This window comes from Homo sapiens, chromosome 6 (genome assembly GCF_000001405.40).
Source record: "Homo sapiens chromosome 6, GRCh38.p14 Primary Assembly".
NCBI lineage: Eukaryota > Metazoa > Chordata > Mammalia > Primates > Hominidae > Homo > Homo sapiens.
The window spans coordinates 43,579,013-43,602,739 of NC_000006.12; the positions used below are offsets into that span (position 1 = coordinate 43,579,013).

Consider the following 23,727-nt stretch of genomic DNA (forward strand, 5'->3'; position numbering starts at 1 on the left):
TTTATCCTTATGCCAGCAGTACAGGTTGAGTATCTGTGATATTGTGATATATGTATGTTAGTTTTTGTCCACGGTTCCTAGCTCATAACTCCCCTAGCTTTCGTTATAATGTTGGAGCTCTTGAAGCAAGCCTCAGAAAACAGAATCTCTCTCTGGCCTTCTGCCCTCCTTTCACCTGCCCAAAGCAGGACTCTAATCTTCCCCTGCCTTTCTGATTATGGGTCATAAGACTTTCATTTCAGAAGAGTTCCTACCCCATACCCTGGAGAAAGGAATGCTACCCAGAGAGGCCAGGAAGAATCTGGACAGGCCTTGCTGGGTTTCCCCAGTCTATTAGTATTAGATCATATCTTTTTTGTCCAGTCACATTTCTACACGGATGTCAGTCATGCCTATCCAATGAAGTTTCCATAAAAGGCCCAAGAGGAGAGGGTTCGAAGAGCTGCTGGATAGGAGCAAAAGGAAGTTCCTGGAGAGTGGTGTTCCCAGGGAGGGCATGCCTTGCCATGTGTATCTCTTCATCTGTATATCCTTTATAATAAACTAGTAAATTTGATTACCTGAGTTCTGTGAGCCACTCTGGCAAATTAACTGAACCCAAAGAGGGGCTCATGAGATTCCCAATTTATATCCAGTCAGTTAGAAGCACAGGTAAAACAACCTGTGGCTTGTGATTGGCATCAGAAGTAGGGGGCAGTCTTGTGGGACTGAGCCATCAACCTGTGAGATCTGACGCTTTCTCCAGGTAGATAATGTCAGACTCGAATTGGAGGATACCCACTTGGTGTCTGCTGCAGAATTGATTGCTTGTTTGTTGGTGGGGAGAAATCCTCACACATTTGGTCACAGAAGTCTACCTTATTGATTGTTGTTGAGTGAAAGAATCTTTTTTTTTTTTTTTTAAATTTATTTTTTTATTGATAATTCTTGGGTGTTTCTCACAGAGGGGGATTTGGCAGGGTCATGGGACAATAGTGGAGGGAAGGTCAGCAGATAAACAAGTGAACAAAGGTCTCTGGTTTTCCTAGGCAGAGGACCCTGCGGCCTTCCGCAGTGTTTGTGTCCCTGATTACTTGAGATCAGGGATTGGTGATGACTCTTAACGAGCATGCTGCCTTCAAGCATCTGTTTAACAAAGCACATCTTACACCGCCCTTAATCCATTTAACCCTGAGTGGACACAGCACATGTTTCAGAGAGCACAGGGTTGGGGGTAAGGTCACAGATCAACAGGATCCCAAGGCAGAGGAATTTTTCTTAGTGCAGAACAAAATGAAAAGTCTCCCATGTCTACTTCTTTCTACACAGACACGGCAACCATCCGATTTCTCAATCTTTTCCCCACCTTTCCCGCCTTTCTATTCCACAAAGCCGCCATTGTCATCATGGCCCGTTCTCAATGAGCTGTTGGGCACACCTCCCAGACGGGGTGGTGGCCGGGCAGAGGGGCTCCTCACTTCCCAGTAGGGGCGGCCGGGCAGAGGCGCCCCTCACCTCCCGGACGGGGCGGCTGGCCGGGCGGGGGGCTGACCCCCCAACCTCCCTCCCGGACGGGGCGGCTGGCCGGGCAGAGGGGCTCCTCACTTCCCAGTAGGGGCGGCCGGGCAGAGGCGCCCCTCACCTCCCGGACGGGGCGGCTGGCCGGGCAGGGGGGCTGACCCCCCCACCTCCCTCCCGGACTGGGCGGCTGGCCGGGCGGGGGGCCGACACCCCCACCTCCCTCCCGGACGGGGCGGCTGGCCGGGCGGGGGGCCGACCCCCCCACCTCCCTCCCGGACTGGGCGGCTGGCCGGGCAGAGGGGCTCCTCACTTCCCAGTAGGGGCGGCCGGGCAGAGGCGCCCCTCACCTCCCAGACGGGGCGGCTGGCCGGGCGGAGGGCTGACCCCCCCACCTCCCTCCCGGACGGCACGGCTGGCCAGGCGGGGGGCTGACCCCCCCACCTCCCTCCCGGATGGGGCGGCTGGCCGGGCGGGGGGCTGACCCCCCCCCACCTCCCTCCCGGACGGGGTGGCTGCCGGGCGGAGACGCTCCTCACTTCCCAGATGGGGTGGCTGCCGGGCGGAGAGGCTCCTCACTTCTCAGACGGGGCAGCTGCCGGGCGGAGGGGCTCCTCACTTCTCAGACGGGGTGGTTGCCAGGCAGAGGGTCTCCTCACTTCTCAGACGGGGCAGCCGGGCAGAGACGCTCCTCACCTCCCAGACGGGGTCTCGGCAGGGCAGAGGCGCTCCTCACATCCCAGATGGGGCGGCGGGGCAGAGGCGCTCCCCACATCTCAGACGATGGGCGGGCGGGCAGAGACGCTCCTCACTTCCTAGATGTGATGGCGGCTGGGAAGAGGCGCTCCTCACTTCCTAGATGGGATGGCGGCCGGGCGGAGACGCTCCTCACTTTCCAGACTGGGCAGCCAGGCAGAGGGGCTCCTCACATCCCAGACGATGGGCGGCCAGGCAGAGACACTCCTCACTTCCCAGACGGGGTGGCGGCCGGGCAGAGGCTGCAATCTCGGCACTTTGGGAGGCCAAGGCAGGCGGCTGCTCCTTGCCCTCGGGCCCGCGGGGCCCGTCCGCTCCTCCAGCCGCTGCCTCCCGGGCGGCGCTCGCCGGCGCGGCGGCAAAGACTGAGACAGCTCTGCTGCCCGCTGAACTCCATCCTCCCGGCGGTCGGGCGGCGGCGGCTGCGGTCGGTCGCGGCAGCGGCTCCGCTTCATATCTGCAGCTGGGGCCCGCGGGCGTCAGCGCCGCGACTGTCCCGGCTCCGCACTGCCCCGGGCCGCAGCGCAGCCGCGCCAACCACCACCCGCGGCCACCATGGCCGGACGGGCTCCCTAAGCCACCGACCCCAGCCCGCGGCGCCTTCGAGCCTTCTAGGGCCTCCGGCGCCGCGACCTCCTCTCAAGATCGAGTGAAAGAATCTTAAAAACTGTTTTTTCCACTCAGGGTATCCCTAATCTGAAATTTGAAATCTTCCAAAATCCAAAAAATTTTTTGCACCAACACAGCATTCAAAGGAAATGTTTATTAGAGCATTGTAGGTTTAGGATTTTTGGATTACGGATGCTTAACTGGTGATTATAATGCAAATATTGCAAAATTTGAAAAAAATGCAAAATCTCAAGCACTTTGGATCCCAGCCATTTCAGATAAGGGATACTCAACCTGTATATTTAAATGCCTATTTCATTCTTGTTAGTTTCCATGCTCCCATGCTCATGGTAACTCATCAGTGAAAGAATGGAATTACAGTTTTCCCTGGCATTTTGGATTAGGTGTTTTTCTAACTGTCCATAAAATGTTGTGTTACAGAAAAATGGCTACTGGACAGGATCGAGTGGTTGCTCTCGTGGACATGGACTGTTTTTTTGTTCAAGTGGAGCAGCGGCAAAATCCTCATTTGAGGAATAAACCTTGTGCAGTTGTACAGTACAAATCATGGAAGGGTGGTGGGTATGTATCATTGTTATTGTCACAACTATTCAATGGTAACACAGTGGCACTGTGGCAGGTCCTTTGTTGTTGTGGTGGTGGTGGTGGTGGTGACAGGGCCTTTCTCTGTTGTCCCATCCAGAGCGCAGTGGCACCATCAGCTCACAGCAGCTTTGACCTGGGCTCAAGTGATCATCCCTCTTCAGTCTCCCAAATAGTTAGAACTACAGGAGCGCCCCACCATGCCAAGCTGATTTTATTTTTTGGGGGGTGGGTAGAGATGGGGATTGGTTGGGGGGGCAGGGCTCACTATATTGCCCAAGCAGGTCTTGAACTCCCGGCCTCAAGCAGTCCTTCTGCCTTGGCCTCCCAAAGTACAGGAATTGCCAGCATGAGCTGCTGTGCCTGGCCCTATTTTTGAGATTTCTGAACTGCTTTGTTTTGGATTGAATGATGGCATCTGTGGTCAAAAAGTTTCTAATATGTTTATAGATTACTTGTGTTAAATGTTACTTGTTTTTGCTTGTGATCATATAATATGTTTTCTGTTTCCTTTTTTTTCTAACCTTAGAATAATTGCAGTGAGTTATGAAGCTCGTGCATTTGGAGTCACTAGAAGTATGTGGGCAGATGATGCTAAGAAGTTATGTCCAGATCTTCTACTGGCACAAGTTCGTGAGTCCCGTGGGAAAGCTAACCTCACCAAGTAAGAAAAAAACATTATTTAAGGAGACATAAAGGAGTCGAAAATAATACTCCATGAGGCTAGGAACTGGTGTTTTGAATTTGTTCCATGTAAATAACACCGGAAAAAATTCTTTTTGGTTAGCCATCTTGTCTCTGTGAAATGAAAAACAGATTTTAATATTGTGTTTTGGGGACAGTTCAAAACCATTATACCATATAAGAGTTGCTGCCTTTGATATCTATTCAGTTCCTTAATTGTTCAAAATTGGTTGTTAAATTCAGACTTAATACCAATTCCCATGTTCTCCATCCAAAAATCTAAAGTATTTGAAAAATTGACTGTGAAACTGAGAATTTTTCCAGGAAAGGCTGAGTCAAACTGACATTGTAGTACAATATCAGGAATTAGTTGCTATAATTGAACAATATCAAGGGAGATTTCTCTGTTTTTAGATTAAGCTATCTCTCCGCAAATATTAGAAGTTTCACCTTGGAATGGGGGATATGAATCAGCATAGCTAAGTCAGAGGTAGGCACAAACCCCAGCCTTTAATCCTAACAGCTAATATGTATTAAACATATTATCACATGCCAGGCACAGTGTTAAGCTCTCTATAGGCAATATCTCTATTAAATCTGACATTGTTATAAGGTAGGTACTAATATTACTCCCCCTTCACAGATAAGGAATCAAGTTCAGAGAAGTTAAATAATTTAAGTTAGGCTGGGGATGGTGGCTCATGCCTGTAATCCTAGCATTTAGGGAGGCTGAGGCGGGCAGATCACTTGAGTCCAGGACACCAGCCTGGGCAACATAGGGACCAGCCTGGGCAACATGGGGAAACCCCATCTCTAACAGAAAATACAAAAATTAGCCAGGCATGGTGGCACACACTTGCAGTCCCGGCTACTCAGGAAGCTGAGTTGAGAGGATTGCTTGAGCCTGGGAGGCAGAGGTTGCAGTGGGCCCAGATCACACCACTGCACTCCGGTCTGGGTGACAGAGTGAGACCCTGTCTCAAGAAAGAGAAAAGTTCAGACAGCTAAGTGAAAGACTGAGGATTCACATCTGTTTTTTAAGATTCTAGTATCTATGTTCTCAAGGTACACTATACTATGTGTTGTGGTATAGGAATCATGCTTTGACTTAGGACCTGACATACTTCTGAATTCTAATTCTAATTCTATGAATTAGAAGTCTAAAGGTAGAGTGGCATACAGACCCACATTGGAATTATTGCTAGAAAAGAAGATAGACTTGACTGAAGATTAAGTTTTCCAAATACTCTTAAAAATACCTTGCAGTGATTTGCTCAAGAGGCTGTGAGGAAGCACTGAAATAGAGTATTGTTTTAGAAAAACTCAAACTATGGTTTTCCTCTCCTCTCACACCACAAGAACAATCAACACAGAAGACATCTGTGACCAAAGGTGTGGAAGTATTTCCCCACACACCAATCAGCAGACACCAGCTGCATGTCCTCGCACTCAATTCCAACACTGTCTACCTGGAGATGGCATCAGATTCCACATGTTGAGGGCTCAATACCACAAGAACACCCCCTCCTTCCTTTCCATCACAAGTCCAGGCCTTTAGAACGTCTGAACAGCTGGCTTTAAGTTGGGGTTCCTGCAACCCCCTCTTTGGATTTGATTAATTTGCTGAAGCGACTCACAGAACTCAGGAGAACACTTACTTATGTTTATTATAAGGGATATTACGAAGGATACAGATAGGTTGGGCATGGTGGCTCACGCCTGTAATCCTAGCACTTTGGGAGGCTGAGACAGGAGGATTGCTTGAGCTCAGAAGTTTGAGACCAGCCTGGGCAACATAGTAAGACCTCGTCTCTACCAAAATTAAAACAAAAACAAAAACAAAAAAATTTAGCTAGACATGGTGTTGTGCAGCTCTAGTTCCAGCTACTCAGGAAGCTGAGGTGGGAGGGTCGCTTGAGCCCAGGAGATTGTGGTTCCAGAGAGTCATGATCAAACCACTGCATGCAGCCTGGGCAACAGTGAGATCCTGTCAAAAAGAAGATGAAGATGAAGAGATATATAGAGCAAGGCATGTGAGAAGGGGTGCGGAGCTTTCATGCCCTCCCTGGGTGAGCCACCCTCCAGGAATCTCTACTATTACAGCTATTTGGAACCTCTCCGGACCCTGTCCTCTTGGGTTTTTAGGGAGGCTCCGTTATGTACTCATGACTGATTAAACCATTGGCTATGGGTAATCAACTTGACCTGCAGTATCTCTCTTCCTCTCCCCTCCCCAGAAGTTGAGGGGGTGGGGCCAAAAGTCCCAACCCTCTAATTATGCCGTGGTCTTTTTGGTGACCTGCCCTATCCTGAAGCTATTAGTTAACATTAGCATACAAAAAGACAAAACTTGGGTGATTCCAAGGATTTTTGGAGTTGTATGCCAGGAAACTGGGATGAAGACCGAATATATATTTCACAATATTATAAGTATCCTTTTCTGGCTGTGTGTATGAGTATATTGCTCTTTCTTTTCTTTTTTTTTTTTTTTTTGTGGGTGGGGGACGGAGTTTCACTCTTGTTGCCCAGGCTAGGGTGCAATGGTGCAATCTCGGCTCACCACAACCTCCATCTCTTGGATTCAAGTGATTCTCCTGCCTCAGCCTCCCGAGTAGCTGGGATTACAGTCATGTGCCACCGTGCTGGCTAATTTTATATTTTTAGTAGAAATGGGGTTTCTCCATGTTGGTCAGGCTGGTCTCGAACTCCTGACCTCAGGTGATCCACCCACCTCTGCCTCCCAAAGTGCTGGGATTACAGGTGTGAACTGCTGCGCCCGATCTTGCTCTTTATTTTCTTTGAGGCCTATCCTCTTCCTAGTTCAAATAATGATTTAAAAAAAAAAAAAGTCAAGTATTTCTCTAATTCTCTAATTTGAGAGTGTTTTAGAACAATAATTATATTAGTTTTTATGGGTGTCATGGTGAAGAGGTACCGATGTTTTCATTTTTATGGTAAATATAAAGTCAATAGGAACAAAGAACTGGACACTACAAAGCAGGTCCAAGCCAAAGGAAAGCAAATATCTGTATATTGGCCGGATGTGGTGGCTCACGCCGGTAATCCCAGCACTTGGGGAGGCCGAGGTGGGTGGATCACCTGAGGTCAGGAATTCGAGATCAGCCTGGCCAACATGGTGAAACCCTGTCTCTACTAAAAATACAAAAAAATTCACCAGGCGTGGTGGCAGGCGCCTGTAATCCCAGCTACTTGGGAGGCTGAGGCAGGAGAATTGCTTGAACCCGGGAGGTGGAGGTTGCAGTGAGGCGAGATGCCACTATTGCACTCCAGCCTGGGAGACAAGAGCGAGACTTCATCTCGAAAAACAAGAAAAAAAAGAAAATATCTGTATATTGTCGTAGAAAACTAGGTATAGAGCCAGAAGAGCTGCTTATTAAAGTTTGAATAGAAGACATACGATGAGATTGGTATGTATACCCTGAGGAAGGTTGTCTGCCTGCCCAGACACATCACCACATTCTAGGTGCTTATCTTCAACTTGATCATTTGAATATTAGTATATCCGTAAATGGTTGGTTAAGGCATGTGTGTGTATGTGGTGATGACCAGTTCACATGTTAACCAAACTCACCGTTGACTGAAGTATAAAATCCATATGCCAGTTTGTTAATTTATGGTGAGAAATACTATCCTGGGGAAGACCATATACTCTGGTTCACTGATCAGTGCAGTGTTGCATGTAAATTACCCTTTTTTTGAAGACAAAATTAGAAGCAGAAGATTTCTTGGTGGATATATGAAAATAAAAGGAATAGGTGATCATAGTAATACACAAATTTGAGGCATTTCTTTATTTTTTAGAGAGTTCCTTGTCATATAGACGTGTTCATAGTCTGAATGCTTTCTGCCTTGGTAGTTCTGGCATTGTGCTAAAAATGTTTGCCTCCGTGATTCTTCCTTTTCCATGCTTCTATTATTGACCATCTGCCTGCCGATTGACCCTTTCAGTTACTATTGTCTAGTCTCTGTTAAGCCACATGTCTCTTGATTACGTGTATTATTGTTCATTATGGCAGGGTGGGAGTGGAGCAGACAATCTCAAGGTTGCCTCTGTTTATTGCCTGCATGAATGATCCTTATACTTCTTAGGTACCGGGAAGCCAGTGTTGAAGTGATGGAGATAATGTCTCGTTTTGCTGTGATTGAACGTGCCAGCATTGATGAGGCTTACGTAGATCTGACCAGTGCTGTACAAGAGAGACTACAAAAGCTACAAGGTCAGCCTATCTCGGCAGACTTGTTGCCAAGCACTTACATTGAAGGGTTGCCCCAAGGCCCTACAACGGCAGAAGAGACTGTTCAGAAAGGTACTTCCATAGCATCATACTGCTTCTGCTTCCTGCCTTTGGAACCTGCTTTGCTTGGTCATGCTGATTCTCCTTGGAATAATTGAAAGGAAACTTAAACTACAGCCTGAATGAATCACAAGGACTCACATGGAAGGATATACAAATTTTCTTATCTTTCCAGGTATATGGCTGTTGAGAAGCTGTGAAATCTGTATGAAAGTAAATTTCTCTTTAGATATAACTAGGGCAGGTTAGTGTTATCAATAGAAGGCAGAGACCTGGCGCGGTGATTCACGCTTCTAATCCCAGCACTTTGGGAGGCCGAGGTGGGTGGATCATGAGGTCAGGAGTTCAAGACCAACCTGGCCAGCATGGTGAAACCCCATCTCTACTAAAAATACAAAAATTAGCTGGGCATGGTGGCGCGTGCCTGTAATCCCAGCTACTTGGGAGGCTGAGGCAGGAGATTTGCTTGAACCAGGACCCAGGAGGTGGAGATTGAGGTGAGCCGAGATCTCGCCACTGCACTCCAGCCTAGGCTACAGAGGGAGACTCCGTCTCAAAAAACAAAAAAATCAATAGAAGGCTGACTGAGCACTTTGTCATTGGTAGCTTAATTTATATTATTATAACTTAGTGTCTTGGTTTCTTCATATATAAGAAGGGTGAGCTTTTTAAAGGGGGGCCTCAGGTATAGGGAGTTGAGTGATTCAAAATTTCTAATCACTTCTTAGCACATTATTACATATGGGCTGCACAAGGCCCCTCTCATTGTATTTTGCTACTTTTACCCTTTATAGTGATTTTCCCACTCCCTCTGTGCCGCACCTACCCTCTTGTACCCACAGATACATTTGATATATCTTAGATGTCTGTCTTTCCTTCCTTCCTTCTTTCCTTCCTTCCTCCCTTCCTTTCTTTTCTTTCTTTCCCTTTCTTTCTTTCTTTCTTTTTTCTTTCTTTCCTTTTCATTTCATTTCATTTCATTTCTTTATTTTGAGATGGAGCGTCACTCTGTCGCCCTGGCTGGAGTGCAGTGGCATGATCTCAGCTCGCTGCAACCTCCGCCTCCAGGGTTCAAGCAGTTCTCCTGCCCCAGCCTCCCAAGTAGCTGGGATTACAGGCATGTATCCACTACACGCTGCTAATTTTTGTATTTTTAGTAGAGATGGGGTTTCACCATGTTGGCCAGGCAGGTCTGGAACTCCTGACCTCAAATGATCCACCTGCCTTGGCCTCCCAAAGTGCTGGCATTACAGGTGTAAGCCACTGTACCTGGCCTATATCTTTATAAGTTACTCAGTATTGCTTTGTCTATGTGCTTTTTAATTACAAGATGATTTTGTGCTATTATAGATCTCATTCTTTTTCTTTTTTTTTTTTTGAGACGGAGTCTCACTCTTTCGCCCAGGCCGGACTGCAGTGGCGCTATCTCGGCTCACTGCAAGCTCCGCCTCCCGGGTTCACGCCATTCTCCTGCCTCAGCCTCCTGAGTAGCTGGGATTACGGGCGCCCGCCACCGCGCCCGGCTAATTTTTTTGTATTTTTAGTAGAGACAGGGTTTCACCGTGTTAGCCAAGATGGTCTCGATCTCCTGACCTTGTGATCCGCCCGCCTCGGCCTCCCAAAGTGCTGGGATTACAGGTGTGAGCCACCGTGCCCGGCCTTCATTCTTTTTCTTAATTTTCCTTCAGTAATGACCTTAGAGATGTGTCCATGTGGCTGTATTTATTTGTAATTGATGGCTTCGATGGCTGTTACTTGCAGCGTAATCCATGATATGGATCCACCATGGTTACAGACCATTTTCCCTAGTGACAAATTCATTGGTTGCTTCTAATGTCCTGCTCTAACAGTTTACATTCCCCCTAGCAGTACATAAAAGTTCCTGTTTCCCCCATATTCTCAACAACAACTGGTATCATCTAATGTTTAAAAATATTTGCCAATATAATGTTTGTTTGTTTTGCTTTAATTTACATTTCTCTGATCACTAATTGAGATTGAAGATCTCTTCATACACTTGTAAGCCAGCTGAGTTTCTGCTTCTGTGATTTACTTATTTATAATCTTTGCCCATTTTTCCATGGAAAAATGGTAAAATTATTTATTTTTTGATTTGCAAGAGTTCCTTGTATATCCTATCCTAATTATTAGTTCCTTGTCTTTTTTTTTTTTTTGAGATGGAAGTCTCACTATGTTGCCCAGGCTGGAGTGCAGTGGCTATCAGTCGCTATTCACAGGTGTGTAATTATGGCTCACTGCAGCCTTGAACTCCTGGGCTCAAACAATCCTCCCACCTCAGCCTCCAGAGTAGCTAGAACTACAAGTATGTGCCATCATGCCTGGCTAATTTTTAAATTTTTTGTAGAGACAGGGTCTCACTATGTTGCCCAGGCTTTTATATATTTTTTTCATTTTCTACTTGATTATTGATGTGTTGGGAAATGATAAATGGGTTTTTTTAATGAATTCATTTTTATTTACTTTATCTAAAAAAAATTGTGATATAATCTGTATGAAGTGTTTTAATAACATGTACTTGAAGGTTAATTTTTTTTTCTTAGATTTGAATAGAATTAGGACAATAAAAACTTGCTTTTGTGGCTGGGTGCGGTGGCTCACACCTGTAATCCAAGCACTTTGGGAGGCCGAGGTGGGTGGATCATGAGGTCAGGAGTTCAAGACCAGCCTGGCCAAGATGGTGAAACTTCGTCTTTACCGAAAATACAAAAAAACTAGCTGGGCATGGTAGCATGTGCCTGTAATCCCAGCTATTCGGGAGGCTGAAGCAGAAAATTCCTTAAACCCGGAAGGAGGAGGATGCAGTGAGCTGAGATCGTACCACTGCACTCCAGCCTCGGCAACAGAGCAAGACTCCATCTTAAAAAAAAAAAAACAAAAAACTTGCTTTTGTGATAATGTTAGATTATGATAGTCCTAGATTCCAGGTCTAAGAATTTGCATAAGAATGAGGGTTTTTTTTTTGTTTTGGTTTTTGTTTTTCTTTGAGACAGAGCCACTCTGTCACCCAGGCTGGAGTGCAGTGGCGCAATCTCGGCTCATTGTAACCTCTGCCAGAATGAGGTCTTTTTTTTAATTGAATATTATGAAAGTGGAATTCAGTTGTATCCCCCCAGAGCAAATAATTCTGCATGTTTCATGTTTTGGCTGGGTGTGGTGGCTCACACCTGTAATCCCAGCACTTTGGGAGGCCAAGGCAGGTGAATCACCTGAGGTCAGGAGTTCAAGACCAGTCTGGCCAACATGGCGAAACCCCATCTCTACTAAAAATACAAAAATTAGCCGGGCGCAGTGGCAGGTGCCTGTAATCCCAGCTACTTGGGAGGCTGAGACAGGAGAATCACTTGAGTCCAGGAGGCGGAGGGTGCAGTGAGCCGAGATTGCGCCACTGTACTCCAGCCTGGGTGGCGACAGAGCAAGACTCTGTCTCAAAAAAAAAAAAGAAAAAAAAAAAAAAGATGTAACATGTAAACTTTGCTTTTGCTGCTGAACAATTGCATAAAATGCCTTTAATGTGTTGTGCAGAAGAGTAGTAGTAAAACTGCCCAGGGAAGCTTGTGACTTAAGGAATTATTTTATTTTCTGATCCTGATAATGCAAAGTATGTCAAGCTAGAGGCTGCAGATCCTTTAGTTCTTTGGACAAAATATAATGGACAATAAAGATGTGCCACTTATAGAGGAAGCAAAATCATGGTACATAAGCTTTTGATATTTGATATTTTATTATTCTGGGACCAGAGTCAGAAATTTAATTATCATAATAAGAAAGGTGTTCTTTGGTCTTACCTTTCTGTACCACATCTTATTACATAACTTTCTTTTTTTTTAGTTTCCATATGCAACACTGATTTTTTTGGTGTCACCCAGGCTGGAATGCAGTTGTGAGATCTTGGCACACTGCAGCCTCCACCTCCAGGGTTCAAGTGATCCTCATGCCTCAACCTCCTGAGTAGCTGGGATTATAGGCATATGCCACCATGCTGGCTAAGTTTTGTATTTTTAGTAGAGACGGGGTTTCGCCATGTTGGTCAGGCTGGTCTCAAACTCCTGGCATCAAGTTATCCATCTGCCTTGGCCTCCCAAAGTGCTGGGATTACAGGCATGAGCCACCGCACCCAGCCTGATTTTTTTTTTTTTTTTAAATATTTGGAATTGGTTTTATAATGCCTTGAATTTGTGGCTCTTTAAAGTTTATTTGAGAATTACATACTCTTAAAAATTTGTTGAAAGCTATAGACCCTTGCTGGCCTCCGAAAAATTTGTATCTATACATAAGACAATTTTGCATGCAGTTTTCAGGAGATTCACAAACCCTCTGAAATCCACATACCTCAGAATTAGAACTAGTCTTACACATTATATTGGTTTTTGCTGCAGAGCATTGTTGAAGCATTCTATTATCTCTGGCTGAAGATGGTATATACCTTCCTTGGTAGTTGAATGTTAACTCAGATGGACGTGTTCCTCTTTCTTCTACACTTACTTTTCTTACCTATGTACATTTTTTTATTAAAAATGCCCATGTTTATAGAGAGGTCTATTTCTGTATGTCTTGTGTCTGTTGCATTAGTGTGTCCAACTTAAATATTAAGCTCCCAGATGCAGTGCCAGCATCTTATTATATGTAATGTTCAGAACAGTGCAATGTCTAGGAAATATTTCATATCATATTCCTGAATCTTTGATGTGTGCAACCACAAAAACCTGATAACAGAAATTAGCTGATCTAAGTGGATATAACCTTCCAGAAATCATTTTTCATGGATACAATATATTTCAAATCTAAGAAAAGAGGCGAGGTATTTGTAATACCTTGATACTGAGCTTTCCATCAACTTTTCCATCTTGCCTCCTATAAGAGCTAGCAATCATGCTCAGCCCTCCTGCATTTGCAGCTTTGTATCTTCTTTTTTTTTTTTTTTTTTGGAGAGGGAGTCTCTTTCTCGCTCTGTCGCCCAGGCTGGAGTGCAGTGGTGCAATCTCGGCTCACTGCAATCTCCACCTCCCGGGTTCACGCCATTCTCCTGCCTCAGCCTCCCGAGTAGCTGGGACTACTGTTGGCCGCCACCACGCCCGGCTAATTTTTTTGTATTTTTTTTAGTAGAGACGGGGTTTCACCGTGTTAGCCAGCATGGTCTCGATCTCCTGACCTCGTGATCTGCCCGCCTTGGTCTCCCAAAGTGCTGGGATTACAGGCGTCAGCCACTACGCCTGGCCTTGTATTTTCTAAAATAGTTATTTGTGTGTAAAGTTTAAGTAGTAAGATTTACTTAAAGTACTTCTCAGAAATTGTCAAGGTGAAACTTTCCCATCATTGCCATTTTGTAACTGGTTTGTTAGCTAAGGGCCTTTTCTTTTCCCTTTGTTTTTTCTTAATTCATTTCTTTATTATTTTAAAACACAGAGACATGGTCTCACTATGTTGCCCGGGCTGGTCTTGATGAGTTCCTGGCCTCAAGCAATTTTCCCACTTCAGCGTCCCAAAGTGCCAGGATTATAGGCGTGAGCCACTGCACCTGGCCTTACAAAACAGTTTTATAATGATTATTTTTGAGATGGGGTCTCACTGTGTTGCCCATGTTACCTGTGAACTCATGCTCAAGTGATCCTCCCACTTGAGGCTTCCAAGTAGCTGGAACTATCGGCATGTGCCACTGTGTCTGGCTTTATCTTATAATGATCATATAATTATTATTAAAGATTATAAAATTCAATGGAAAGATTATACTATCCTCATGTATCAAAAGACTAAATCTTACTAGTGCTCAATTCTCCCCAAATTGACGTATAGATTCATTGCAGTCCCTTCCAAAATCCCACAGAAATTGACAAACTGATTCTAAAATTTGTATGGAAATGCAAAGAATGTGGAGTAGCCAAACAACTTTGAAAAAGAACTAAGTTGGAAGACATACTACCTGATTTCAAGATTTAACTATAAATTTGTAACTAGGGAAGTTTGGTATTGGTGTGAGAAAATACGTAGATTAATGGTATAGAATAGAAAGTATACAAGTAGATCCCCACTTTTCAGGCTGGGGTGTGTGTGGTGGCAATTCATTTCCACAAAGGTGCCAAGATAATTCAACAAGAAAAACTCTTGGCTGGGCACAGTGGCTCACGCCTGTAATCCCAGCACTTTGAGAGGCCAGGGTGAGCGAATCATGACGTCATGAGATTGAGACCATCCTGGCCAACATGGTGAGACCCTGTCTCTACTAAAAATACAAAAATTAGCTGGGTGTGGTGGCGCATGCCTATAATCCTAGCTTTTCGGGAGGGTAAGGCAGGAGAATTACTTGAACCCAGGAGGCAGAGGTTGCAGTGAGCTGAGATTGCGCCACTGTACTCCAGCCTAGCAACAGAGTGAGACTCCGTCTCAAAAAAAAAAAAAAAAAAAAAGAAAGAAAGAAAAGTTTTTTCTCAGCTTTCATGGGCATTTAACACCAGAACTACCTGAAGTATTTCCTGTAGTCCATTTCATGGTATTGAAGAAAAACCAAAATTTTATAGATTTTTCTTATCAACTAGAGAAAAGGTAAAAAGCATTGTAGGGAAATAAGGGAATTCTGCTTATCTTCTGTGGTCCCGTTCAGTTAATACAGATAAAGGATTAAATTTAAAAATCTACATTGCCACAGGATTGCAACATTACCCAATCTGGGAAAGCAATGATGAAAAAAATCTAAAGCAGAGAAAATTTAGCTCTAACTGTTTAAAAAGGTCCAGAAAGTCATACAATTACAGTAAATTATTCATATTTTTGTTTCCCAAAGCTAATATATACTAGTATAAATTGTTTTAAATGATGGATGTTTTAATAGTATTTATTGTTCTTAATATGTGCAAGCCTTGGTATTTCAGGAAAACAGATAATTAAAAAAAAAGCAAAAAATGCGCAAGCCACTGTGCTGAGGAACTTTATTTTTAAAAACTACCTTTTGGCCGGGCACAGTGGCTCACGCCTGTAATCCCAGCACTTTGGGAGCCCTTGAGGTCAGGAGTTCAAGACCAGCCTGGCCAACATGGTGAAACCCCATCTCTACTAAAAATACAAAAATTATCTGGGCCTGAAGGTTCACAGCTGTAGTCCCAGCTACTCCGGAGGCTGAAGCAGGATAATTGCTTGAACCTGGGAGGTGGAGGTTGCAGTGAGCTGCACTCTAGCCTGGGCAACAGAGCAACTCCGTCTCAAAAAAAATAAAAAATAATAAACTATCTTTTAATCCTCATAACAGCTATATGAAGTGCAGTTTGTAGACAAGGAAATTGAAGCTTAGAGAATTATGTAACTTGTCCAAAGTCACATGGTCAGTAGGTTATGAAGCCAATATTTGAACCCTGCTTGACTGCAGAATGTTCTTTTAACAATTATGCTCTACTTCTTATGGCCATACATGGTGGTTTACACCTGTAATCCCATCACTTTGTGAGGCCAAGGCTGGGGGCTGGGGAGGTGGGGGGCATATGGGGGGGGATTGCTTGAGTCCAGGAGTTTGAGACCATCCTTGGTGACATGGTGAAACCCCGTCTCTACAAAAAATACAAATTAGCTGGGCGTGGTGGCATCTGCCTGTAGTCCTAGCTACTTGGGAGGCCAAGGTAGGAGGATCGCTTGAGCTCAGGAGGCAGAGAATGCCCTGCCAAAAGACAGGTTTTTTTTTTTTAGTTTTTTTTTCTTTTTTGAGGTGGAGTGTCACTCAGCTCACTGCAACCTCCGCCTCCCGGGTTCAAGTGATTCTCCTGTCTCAGCCTCCTGAGTAGCTGGGATTACAGGTGTGCACCACCACGCCTGGCTAATTTTTGTATTTGTATTTTTAGTAGAGACGGGGTTTCACCATGGTGGTCAGGCTGGTCTCAAACTCCTGACCTTGTGATCTGCCTGCCTTGGCCTCCCAAAGTGCTGAGATTACAGACGTGAACCACCGCACATGGCCCAAAAGATAGTTTTTAAAAATAAAGTTCCTTGGCCGGGCGCAGTGGCTCATGCCTATAATCCCAGCACTTTGGGAGGCCAAGGCAGGCGGATCACGAGGTCAGAAGATCAAGACTATCCTGGCTAACATGGTGAAACCCCATCCCTACTAAAAAAAATACAAAAAAATTAGCCGGGCGTGGTTGCAGGCGACTGTAGTCCCAGCTACTTGGGAGGCTGAGGCAGGAGAATGACGTGGACTCGGGAGGCTGAGGCAGGAGAATGGCGTGGACCCAGGAGGTGAAGCTTGTGGTGAGCCGAGATCGCTCCACTGCACTCCAGCATGGGCAACAGAGCGAGATTCTATCTCAAAAATAAATAATTAAATAAATAAAATAAAGTTCCTCAGCACAATGGCTTGCATGTATTTTTCTTTTTTTTTTTAAATTACCTATTTTCCTGAAACACCAAGGCTTGCACATATTAAGAACAATGAATACTATTAAAACATCCATCATTTAAAATAATGTATACTAGTATATATTAGTGAGCCAAGATCATGCCACTGCACTCCAACCTGGATGACGGAGTGTGACTCTGTCTCAAAAAATAAAACAATTATGTCTACTTCATATTACAGATAAAAGGTAAAGAACTTTAATGTGGTACTAGAAAGCTAGCTAGAATAGTTGAAGGAGAGGACTTCATAATAGATAAACTTGCCATAAGCCCTAAAGTATAGATGTGTTTAAGCAAAGGAAAGAAGAACAGAGTTAAGGGGTAAGAGCTTGCCAGGCGCGGTGGCTCAGGCCTGTAATCCCAGCACTTTGGGAGGCCAAAGCGGGCAGATCACAAGGTCAGGAGATCGAGACCATTCTGGCTGACACGGTGAAACCCCATCTCTACTAAAAATACAAAAAATTAGCTGGGCGTGGTGGCAGGCGCCTGTAGTCCCAGCTACTCGGGAGGCTGAGGCAGGAGAATGGTGTGAACCCGGCAGGCAGAGCTTGCAGTGAGGCGAGATCATGCCACTGCACTCCAGCCTGGGTGACAGAGTGAGACTTCGTCTCAAAAAAAAAAGAAAAAAGAAAAAACCTGAATAAAATAGGGTGGTGGGTTGCAGTGGATATGTGAAATATTTTAAAGTAGGTTTTGTTGACTAAATGGCTGCATAATGAGGAATGAAAGAGAAAATAAGCCAATATTAATGTGGATTTTAAGCCCTTAATAGAAATAGGGAGTTGGTTGGAAAGAACATTTGAGAAGGAAGACAAAGTTTGATTTTAGTTATGTTTAGTTGGAAACCATAATTAAAAATTCAAGAAAAGTTCTTCTGTAGGGAGTCAGGAAAAGTTCTTCTGTAGGGAGGTAGAGCTAAGGGATTAGAGTGTACATTTGGGGATAAAGATTTGTATGTACTCAGAGTAAGATATTTTCAAGGTCCTAAGTCCCAAGCAACATCTGACTTAAAACAGCTTATCAAGGGAATAAATCTAGTGCCTCGGAGTGGATTTTAAGTTACTCAGCTGGAATCCACCTCTAAAAACATGTAAATGTTAAAGCTTATATTGAAGCTTGAGTTAATTCTGAATATTTTCTAATTGAAAAAAATATTCTTGGAGAAGATGTTTAAGTGATTAAATATAGTAGGAGAAAGAAAATTCAAGAGAACTGGGGAGATAAATGTGTTTACATTATTTTTTTTTATTTTTATTATTTTTGAGATGAAGTCTTGCTCTGTCGCCCAGGCTGGAGTGCAGTGGCGCAATCTCGGCTCACTGCAACCTCCGCCTCCTGGGTTCAAGCGAATCTCCTGCCTCAGCCTCCTGAGTAGCTGTGGTTACAGGCCTGCACCACCATGCCCAGCTAGTTTTGTATTTTTAGTAGAGACGGAGTTTTGCCATGTTGGACAGGCTGGTCTTGAACTCCTGACCTCAGGTGATCCACCCGCCTTGCTCTCCCAAAATGCTGGGATTACAGGCGTGAGCCACCGTGCCTGGCCAAAAATGTGTTTTAAAATCATTGCTCATGAAAGATGATATTAATACAAAATATTTGTCGTACATTAGCACTATAAAATTCAGCCTATGCTGAAGCTAAGCTGCGGGAACACTCTGAAGGAGAAATTGAGCTCTCTTATAATTGGTCTTCTAAGCTGGCTGCCATTTTTTTGTGAAAACTTATATGTCTAAATACCTGTAATCTAAGCATTTCTACATTAGATAGCACAATTAAATAAATAATTTTTTAAATGTCTAAATGTGAGTTCTTAATTCATTTCAGAGGGGATGCGAAAACAAGGCTTATTTCAATGGCTCGATTCTCTTCAGATTGATAACCTCACCTCTCCAGACCTGCAGCTCACCGTGGGAGCAGTGATTGTGGAGGAAATGAGAGCAGCCATAGAGAGGGAGACTGGTTTTCAGTGTTCAGCTGGAATTTCACACAATAAGGTGAAGGCTAATAGTAGATTTCAAAGAGAAACATTGATATCCTTAGTCAAATACAGTAGGGACAGTGGGACATTGAAATTATTACACATAGGCCGGGTGCAGTTTCGCACGCCTATGTGAGTGGATCGCGTGAGCCCAGGAGTTGAAGAGCAGCCTGGGAAACATGTTGAAACCCAGTCTCTACAAAAAATTAGCCAGGCGTGGTGGTGTACACCTACAGTCCCAGCTACTCAGGAGGCTGAGATGGGAGGATCAGCTGAGTCCAGGAGGTTGAAGCTGCCGTGAGCCGAAATCATACTACTGTACTTCAGCTTGGGCGACAGTGAGACTGTCACCAAAAAAAAAAAAAAAAAGTTGTTACACATGTACTTTGAATGGATTTCTTTTAAAATTCATGTTGAGGCCCAAATCAAAGCATAAGTAATTCTTTAACATGGAAATGGACATTAAATATGTACTTTCCTAAGAAGCAAGCTGAAGGCCGGGCATGGGGGCTCACGCCTGTAGTCCCAGCACTTTCGGAGGCTGAGGCAGGTGGATCACCTGAGGTCAGGAGTTCGAGACCAGCCTGACCAATATGGTAAAACACCATCTCTACTAAAAATACAAAAAAAAAAAAATTAGCCAGACATGGTGGCGTGCACCTGCAATCCCAGCTACCCGGGAGGCTGAGGCAGGAGAATTGCTTTAACCTGGAAGGTGGAGGTTCCAGTGAGCCAAGTTGTGCCACTGCACGCCAGCCTGGGCGACAGAGCAAAGACTCCGTCTCAAAAAAAAAAAAAGAAAAAGAAAAGAAAAACCATACACTATAAGAACAATTTATATAGCATTTACATTGTACGTTATAGGTGTTATAAGAAATTAGAGATGATTTAAAGTATACAGAAGGATATACAAAGGTTATATGCAAATACTGCACCATTTTATATTATGGGACTTGATCATTTTATATACGGGACTTGGGGTTTTGGTATCCACTGGAGGTCTTAGAACCAATCCCCTGCAGATATTGAGAGATGACAGTATTTCCTTAATGACTGAACTGTTTGTTGGAAAAAGGAGGCTAGTCTTTGCACTTACATACATTAATGTATTTCTTCTATTTTCACTTGCTGAATTTTTTTTTTTTTTTTTTTTTTTTGAGATGGAGTCTCGCCCTGTTGCCCAGGCTGGAGTTCAGTGGCCCAATCTCAGCTCACTGCAGCCTCCGCCTCCCGGGTTCAGGTGATTCTCCTGCCTCAGCCTCCCGAGTAGCTGGGATTACAGGTGCACACCACCATGCCTGGCTAATTTTTGTATTTTTACTGGAGACAGGGTTTCACCATATTGGCCAGGCTGGTCTGGAACTCCTGACCTCAAGTGATTCACCCACCTCGGCCTCCCAAAGTGCTGGGATTACAGGCATGAGCCACCGCGCCCGGCCACGTGCTGAATATTTTTGTATTATCTTGTTATGTGGAATTGCCTGGGTATTTTATGCTTTTGCCTATTCCCTGTTTTCTTATGAGAGCAATAAAAGGAATAATACAATTTTATTAATTTAGACCACTATTTTAATTTAGGGTACACAGACAATTCTCAACAATCCAGGAGCAGAATAACTGGTTTTCTGATTAATTATGAATAAAGTGTAGCAAGAGCCCAGGACTTTCATCCCCTTCTGACCAAAGCTCAGTAATTGGGCAGTGGCTGATTTTCCCTGGTTGATACCTTCTCCGCCTCCCTTCAATACAAGGAAAGTTGCCAAACTACCCATCTGAATTTTTTTGGTGTTTTTTTTTTTCCTGGTTGGATGAAGGGAAAGGAAACAATAACTTCAATGTAATTTAAACCAGACTAAATGTTGCCTAGTAGAAGTTCTTAACGAATCTCTCTAATGAATTTAATAATTTTATATTTTAAAACATACAAATATAATTTTTAAATTATATTAAAAAATTAAAAATTATATTTTTATAATTTGCAAAATGATACCATTGAAGTGCTTTTACTCTTAGAAAAGATTTCTCTTGGCCGAGTGCGGTGGCTCACACCTGTAATCCCAGCACTTTGGGATCCCGAGGCTGGTGGATCACCTGAGGTTGGGAGTTCAAGACCAGCCTGACCAATATGGAGAAACTCCGTCTCTACTAAAAATACAAAATTAGCTGGGCATGGTGGCTCATGCCTGTAATCCCAGCTACTCAGGAGGCTGAGGCAGGAGAATTACTTGAACCCAGGAGGTGGAGGTTGCAGTGAGCTGAGATCATGCCATTGTACTCCAGGCTGGGCAACAAGAGTGAAACTCTGTCTCAAAAAAAAAAAAAGAAAAAGAGTTCTCTTGGGAGGCTGAGGCGGGTCGACAGATCTCAAGGCCATCCTGGCCAACATGGTGAAACCCCGTATCTACCAAAAATACAAAAATTAGCTGGACATGGTGGCGCACACCTGTAGTCCCAGCTACTTGGAAGGCTGAGGCAGGAGAATTGTGTGAACCCGGTGCGGGGGCGGTTGCAGTGAGCCAAGATCACGCCACTGCCCTCCAGCCTGGTGACAGAGCAAGACTCTGTCTCAAAAAAAAAAAAAGTTCTCAAGGATTTAAGCTTTTTCATTTTTTAAGTGCTATTTATAAGAAGGTGTTTGTTATTGGAGGGTGGTTTTGAGCCCAATCTCTATAACAGATACTATATTATGATAATTTGTGTTAAATTGGGGACTCAAAATGGACCAACTATTAATCAAGAAATGTAAATGGGATAGGGTAAAACAAGTATGTTTCGGCATTTTTGTATAGACATACTGAGAAATGCATCTTGCTTGAGTTTCTCCTGCAGTTTCTGCTTTTCAAACCTCTTGAAGTAGGAATAGATGGGAAGGAAAAAATGACTAGAGGAAAACAGAATGGGAGAGATGTGGGAAGAACAGTGAGGATAATGATATTGCGTCATGTTTCCCACTGGGGATGTTGTGGGATACCAAGTTTTAGAGATGTCTTGAGTTTCTGGTTTTATTTTTGTTTTTAATGTAGAAACCATTAGTTACAGCTATTAAGCTCTGTGTGTGTGTATGTTATGTGTATGTTTATATTCACCAACTTTGATGGGTTGACAGTAATGAGGTTTTTATACTTTGCATGCTTCCAGGTCCTGGCAAAACTGGCCTGTGGACTAAACAAGCCCAACCGCCAAACCCTGGTTTCACATGGGTCAGTCCCACAGCTCTTCAGCCAAATGCCCATTCGCAAAATGTAAGTATTCAGGCAGCATGTTAAATTTCACTTCTATCCATGTGTAGAAACTCTCTGGTTGTAGTTTCTTGTGTTACTAATTAAGGACTGGAGCCAGGGGAAATACATACCAGGCAGTTAGAAGGAAAACAACACAGAACATTTTGAAACACACGCTGAGACTTTTATTTTTATTTATTTATTTATTTTTTGAGACAGAGTTTCACTCTTGTTGCCCACGCTAGAGTGCAATGGCACGGTGTCAGCTCCCTGCAACCTCCACCTCCCAGGTTCAAGCAATTCTCCTGTCTCAGGCTCCTGAGTAGCTGGAATTACAGGCGCCCACCACCACGCCTGGCTAATTTTTGTAATTTTAGTAGAGACAGGGTTTCACCATGTTGGCCAGGCAAATCTCAAACTCTTGACCTCAGGTGATTTGCCCTCCTCAGCCTCCCAAAGTGTTGGGATTACAGGCGTGAGCCACTGCGTCCAGCCACGCTGAGACTTTTATTGAACCTTCAATTCTGGGTTATCTGTGGCAGATACTTAATCCTGAATTAAAAAAAAATGAGCCAGGTGTGGTGGCTCACACCTATAGTCCCAGCACTTTTGGTAGGCCAGGGTGGGTGGATCGCTTGAGCCCAGGAGGTCAAAACCAGTCTAAGCAACATAGTGAGACCCCATCTCTATAAAAAATAAATAAATAGGCCGGGTGCGGTGGCTCACGCCTGTAATCCCAGCACTTTGGGAGGCGAGGCAGGTGGATCACCTGAAGTCAGGAGTTCGAGACCAGCCTGGCCAACATGGTGAAACCCTGTCTCTACTAAAAATACAAAAATTAGCTGAGCGTGGTGGCGGGTGCCTGTAATCCTAGCTACTCGGGAGGCTGAGGCAGGAGAATCACTTGAACCCAAGAGGCGGAGGTTGCAGTGAGCCAAAATGGCGCCCTTGCACTCTAGCCTGGGTGACAAGAGCAAGACTCCGTCTTAAAAATATATAAAAAATAAATAAATAAACCAAGTTTTAGCTAAATGTTTAACTTCCCGCTAGACTTTTTTATTTAAGTCTGTTATTAAGTAACAAATAGGAATTTTACTTCTTTTCTTTCCTCTAATAGCATATCAAGGTGTTCAGGGCTGCTGAATTTCAGCTCTCAAAGTAGGCATTAGAGAAGAAGCCAAGTCAAATGAACAGGTTGTGCCTACCAGTTGTGTGGCCTTGACAAGGACTTATAATATTGTAGAAAGGACAAGGTAAAAAGCAATAGTAAAAGTGCTGTCATAAGACTGCATAATTGATAAATGAATTGTGCAGTAGAACAAACTTCACAAAAGAAGGGAGTATTTGGAGATGGATTTATAAAAAGGCATGGGATTTTGTTTTGAGATTTGGCAAAATTTGGAGAGTCAGACAAAAACAGCAAAGCAGTACTGATTTGGAGAACTTTTTAGCACAAAGAAGGGAAAGTATGAGATATTTTCAGTGAACTGGGACCTAAAGTAGTTTAGCTGCACCATATTGAGGAGGATAATGGAAATAGACTGAAAAGATGGTTTAAAGACAGATTACAGGGAGCCTCAAAGGCTGGGCTAAAGAATTTTGACTTTTTTTTTTTTGAGACAAGTCTTGCTCTGTTGCCCAGGCTGGAGTGCAGTGGCGCGATATTGGC

General features: G+C 44.1%; 1 protein-coding gene across 4 annotated transcripts in view; it reads left to right on the plus strand.

The window, feature by feature from the left end:
- POLH (DNA polymerase eta) overlaps positions 1 to 23,727 on the plus strand; it is a 44,339-nt gene that overhangs the window by 2,828 nt on the left and 17,784 nt on the right. For 2 of the 4 annotated variants that reach the window (NM_006502.3, NM_001291970.2), the window contains exons 2-6: positions 3,304 to 3,444; positions 3,995 to 4,129; positions 8,260 to 8,477; positions 18,684 to 18,853; positions 21,976 to 22,079. In NM_006502.3, the coding sequence (NP_006493.1) occupies positions 3,308 to 3,444; positions 3,995 to 4,129; positions 8,260 to 8,477; positions 18,684 to 18,853; positions 21,976 to 22,079 (764 nt within the window). In that variant the 5' untranslated portion in view covers positions 3,304 to 3,307. Of the gene's footprint in view, positions 1 to 3,303; positions 3,445 to 3,994; positions 4,130 to 8,257; positions 8,641 to 18,683; positions 18,854 to 21,975; positions 22,080 to 23,727 lie in introns of those variants that run through there. The other 2 variants (NM_001291969.2, XM_047418900.1) reach the window with 2 other exon arrangements.